The sequence below is a fragment of the Homo sapiens genome, chromosome 1, assembly GCF_000001405.40.
Source record: "Homo sapiens chromosome 1, GRCh38.p14 Primary Assembly".
NCBI classification, from domain to species: domain Eukaryota; kingdom Metazoa; phylum Chordata; class Mammalia; order Primates; family Hominidae; genus Homo; species Homo sapiens.
The window spans coordinates 226347862-226352832 of NC_000001.11; the positions used below are offsets into that span (position 1 = coordinate 226347862).

At 48.4% G+C, this 4971-nt stretch overlaps 1 annotated feature.

Moving 5' to 3' along the window:
- Positions 1822–2322: an enhancer, noted in NCBI's record as "H3K4me1 hESC enhancer chr1:226537384-226537884 (GRCh37/hg19 assembly coordinates)". NCBI's record gives its function as "activates a minimal SCP1, AML or CMV promoter by ChIP-STARR-seq in naive H9 embryonic stem cells {active_cell/tissue: H9 hESC(naive)}" and the evidence as "EXISTENCE:reporter gene assay evidence [ECO:0000049][PMID:30033119]".

Sequence of the window (4971 nt, forward strand, 5' to 3'; positions counted from 1 at the left end):
GAAGCCTTTTATGATGAGTTTATTAGAAGCAAGTTACTGAGTACAGTCTTCACTGAAGGGACAGGACCTGGCTTCCACCAGTTTTTTTGTTTTTGTTTTGTTTTTCAACCTCTCTCCCTTGGCTTCCACCATTTGAAGAGGGAATCATCAAAGAATTTATGGACATTTGAAAACCAGCAACCCTATCCACAACACAATTCTACACATTAAGTTCAGTGTCACAGATTCCAGAGCCTGCCCATGGAATCCCTAAATTAAATAACTCAAGGTTCCTTCCAGCTCCAACAGATAAAATCTAATAACTTCTGATCAAGACATCTTCAAGGACAGGTAAAAACTAACAAAGCAGCAAAAACCTCAGGATTCTATCCCCAGCCCCTGTGTTCACATTATACCCTTCCTTTCCTCCTCCTCCTGGCTCTCCATCCAAGGTCCTTGCAACTTACTGTGTCACTGTATTTCAATCCAAAGCAGGACTGAGGGGCTGACGTTTACGCATGAACCTTGAGACTCCAAGAGAAAGATTAGCTGAGGTTTCAAGACCCCCCCGCCCACTCCCACCTTTTAGACTTAATGCAAGTAGGACTGACAATGTTGCAAGTAAAGGTAGTTCTTATTGTCTGGTTAGAGGAAATGAGGTACAGCCAGGTTCAGCAATGGACCCATTCATGGATGTCATGGGCTGATTCCCTGAGGCTTTATTTAATTTCAGTCCATTCATTTAGTTGCTTTCCATTAATCATGAGTAATATCCCCCAGGAATGGTGGTCCTAAGACGGTTCTTGGAAAAAGAAAGCAAAGTCCATTTGATTTTTTAACTTAGTTCTCAAGATTTTCTAGAGAATCATTTCTTGGTAGTGATTTTCTGTTTTCAGAATGGAGAAGGAGATGCTTACAGGCTTCTGGGTGTAAAATGGCTTCCTCAATCCAGCGCTTTGATGGATCAAAGGGAGACAGTAATAGACTATTCCGTGACCCGCCCTTGAAGCGTCAGGCGAGCTCAGCTGAGCACTTGGGGAAAAGTACTGATGGAGCAGAGGGTTTTTAAAAACAGGGCCCAGGTGTTTTTCCTGGCCTGGAAACGCTGCCAGTTTTACTTCTTGCCACCCCTTTGATCACCTTTGGAACAAGCAGGGGCTGTGAAGAGAACAGTCAGGCTCAGGCACCACCATCCCTTGCCTTAGAAGTCTGGGTGTTACTGGGAGGTGCTGACCAAATGGCGTCTGTGTGTTGGGGTGGTGGGGGGGCCTCCCTTCCTGGGGCCTCTCAGGATGGGAGAGGACAGTGCTTTGTGGCGTGAAGGCACTGCGGAAGAGGAACAACGAGCCTACTCCTTGGGAAGCAGATACGACCTGTGGGTCTGTCACACATGGGCAACGAAACCTCTGTGTGTCCTCGCCCCTGGGGCTCACCTGCTGCAGGCCCCATTCATCACCCGAGAGTGAAAGAAAGGACAGAGCACAGCATGGCCAGGTGGGTTCATTGTACAAACAGGACCCAAAACGGAGAGGTCCCGGGGTTTATTTATCAGTCAGGGTCTCGCTCTGTCACCCAGGCAGTGGTGCAAACACTGCTCACTGGAGACTTGACCTCCTGGGCTCAAGCAGTTCTCCTGCCTCAGCCCCCTAAGTAGCTGGAACTTAAAGGCCTGTACCATCATGCCCGGCTAATTTTTTTTTTTCTTTTTTAGATGGAGTCTCGCTCTGTTGCCCAGGCTGGAGTGCAGTGGCGCGATCTCAGCTCACTGCAACCTCTGCCTCCCGGGTTCAAGCGATTCTCGTGCCTCAGCCTCCCAAGTAGCTGGGTTCACAGGTGCTTGCCACTACGTCCAGCTAATTTTTGGTATTTTTAGTAGAGGCAGGGTTTCCTTATGTTGCCCAGGCTGGTCTTGAACTCCTGAGCTCAAGTGATCCACCTGCCTCGGGCTCCCAAAGTGCTAGGATTACAGAAGTGAGTCTCCGCGCCCGGCCTCCGGCTAATTTTTAAAATGTTTTTATTTTTTGTAGAGACAAGGTCTTGCTGTGTTACCCAGGCTGGTCTCAAATTCTTGGCCTCGAGCCATCTTCCTGCCTCAGCCTCCCAGTGTTGAGATTAAGCATGAGCCACTGCACCTGGCGAGATCCTGGGTTCTAAGGAAGACTTCTTGGGGTTCACTGAGGGTGTGGGGTTGTGCTGGGAACTCCACCCTGAACTTTGCACTCCTTAGGCCCATCCTGCCTCCTTCTCTCCTCTGCCGGAGGCCCTGACCCAGGCCTCCACCCACGCTTCGCCTCCAGGGCTGCAGCATGGGGCCCAGACTCCCCTGCTTCCCCTTCTCGTGGCTATTAAAGGCAAATAAACAGACCCTTTTACAACTCTAGAGGTTTCCTGCCTGTTGTTACGGGGAGCAGGCAGCTGTTAGCAATCAGCAAATGTGGGCAAGTTCCTGAGGTGCCAGAACTGTACAGCGTTCTTATGGGGAGCCCTGCTCCGCAGGCCGCTGCTCCCTTATCTTCAGTCAGCCGGCAGGTTTCCTGATTTCCTTATCTCAGAGCCTACCTTTGGCCAAGGGGACCTTCTCCTCCACAAAACCCAACGTCCCAGTCAGAAATGACAATAAGCCCTTTGGAAGTGATTCAAGCAGAAAAATAAGTGCCGCTTTGTTTCTCTCCAGCGGGTAATTATGTTCCGCCAGGGGATGAGGCCTGAAGAAAGTTTCCTTAGAAACCGAGGCCAGCAGCAGTCTTTCAGGTGTGCGTTCTGGGAGTAAAGGCCAGGAGCTTCTTGGAGGTAACCGGCACTGGCAACGAGCTTGGCAACCTCGATATGGCCAGTGCTATGGAGCCGGAGGAACCAGGAGAAGCTTGCTGTGGAGAGGAGGCACCAGCAGAAGCCACCCCTGGTGCCCACGTCCCCAGCCACAGTGCCTTCCATCCAGGGCTGAGGGCACCACAGTTAACAACGGGAAAGTGAAGGGACTTGGGGAACCCAAGCCCAGTGCTTATGTGTGCTAAACAGTAGGGATAATGAGAGTGTGACAGGAAAATAGAGACTTCCCAATCCTATTTAAAAGGTTGATGGTTTTTATTATCTGATTTTACAGGCTTATTGTGAAAAAATGTGAAAAACCCCAAAGATTAAAATTACTCTTATGTTTACCACATACAGACTACTACTTTTCCATTTTGGGGTTTTCTTCTCAATCCTTTTTTCTAAAATGCATATATATATATATATATATTTTTTTTTTTTCTCACAAAATTGCATCATGCATCAGGCAATGATGTGCCTCGCCAATTTTTGTATCTTTTTAGTGGAGATGGGGTTTCACCATGTTGGCCAGGCTGGTCTTGAACTCCTGCTGGGATTACAGGAGTGAGCCACAGCACCTGGCCTAATTTCCAAATTTTATCAAATTAATGTATGTACATATAGTGTGATAAGCAAGTGCAGTAGTTGAAAGGTTTAAAATAGAACAAGGGGCCGGGCGCTGTGGCTCACGCCTATAATCCCAGCACTTTGGGAGGCCGAGGCAGGCAGATCACCTGAGGTCAGGAGTTCGAGATCAGCCTGGCCAACATGGTGAAACCCTGTTTCTACCAAAAATACAAAAATTAGCTGGGTGTGGTGGCATGCACCTGTAGTCCCAGCTACTTGGGAGGCTGAGGCAGGAGAATCGCTTCAACCTGGGAGGCGGATGTTGCAGTGAGCCAAGATTGTGCTACTGCACTCCAGCCTGGGCAACGGGACGAGACTCTTCTCAAAAAAAAATAAAATAGAATGAGGGCTGGGCGTGGTGGCTCATAGCACTTCGGAAGGCTGAGGTGGGAGGATCCCTTGAGTCCAGGAGAGAACAGTGTGGGCAAAATAGTGAGACCCCCCCCCCCGCCCCCGTCCCCTGCATGCTGCACACATGGTCAAGGCTCTTGGATGGAGAAGGCCCCCAGCTGGGCTGACTCAAGTAAAGAGGAAACTTTATGAGAAAGTGACGAAGACTCTGGGTATCCAAAAGAAAGAAGCAGAGGATCAGGTCTGTGGGAAACAGGAAGTGGAAGCAGAAAGTCCCATCTTCTCTCCCCTGAGGTGGGAGGGGCATGGCCTCTGGAGAGCTGCTGGGCTCCCTCTTCCCTTTGATGACTTCTACCAACTCACTATGCAGAGTCTAACTTGGTCCACCTATGACATCTTAGCTCTAATTTTTTTTACCACTGAGGGGCAGGAGTTGATGTTGTTTTTTGAATGGCATTTAAAATCAACTTTTATTTATTAAGGTGTGATTTATCTTCAGTAAACTATCTAAAGTGTGCGACTAAATGGATTTGACATCATAATCGACACGCACATTTCCATCACCCCCGAAAAGAGTCCCTGGAGGTGCAACAATTTTTTCTTTGTACAAATTGCTAAGCGTATTGACTGCTGGCTTTGGGTTATGTGAAGGGAGTTGTCACTTGGTCCACTCAATAAGCAGGATTTGTGTAGAGGCCAGGCAAGGAAAGGCCCATCTAAATAGTCATCTACTGTATGACCTTGGGCAGGTTAGTCCCGCTGTGCCTCAGGTTCCCATATGTAGACTCAATCATAATATCCCTCATGGGGTTGGTGTGAGGATCAAATTTAAAAATGTGCAACAGAATGTTAAAATCAAAGTTGTGGCCAGGCACAGTGGCTATGTCTGTAATCCCAGAACTTTGGGAGGCTGAGGAGGAGGATTGCTTGAACCCAGGAGTTCAAAACCAGCCAGTCAACATAGTCAGACCCCATGTCTATAAACAATAAAAATAAAAATTAGCCTGGTGTGGTGGCATGCGCCTGTAGTCCCAGCTACTGGGGAGGCTGAGGCAGGAGGATCACTTGAATCCGGGAGGCAGAGGTTGCAGTGAGCCAAGATTGTACCACTGCACTCCAGCCTGGGCAACACAGAAAGACCCTGTCTCAAAAGAAAAAAAAATTGAAGTTTTAATGGAGATTTCAAGATAAAATACGTGAAAA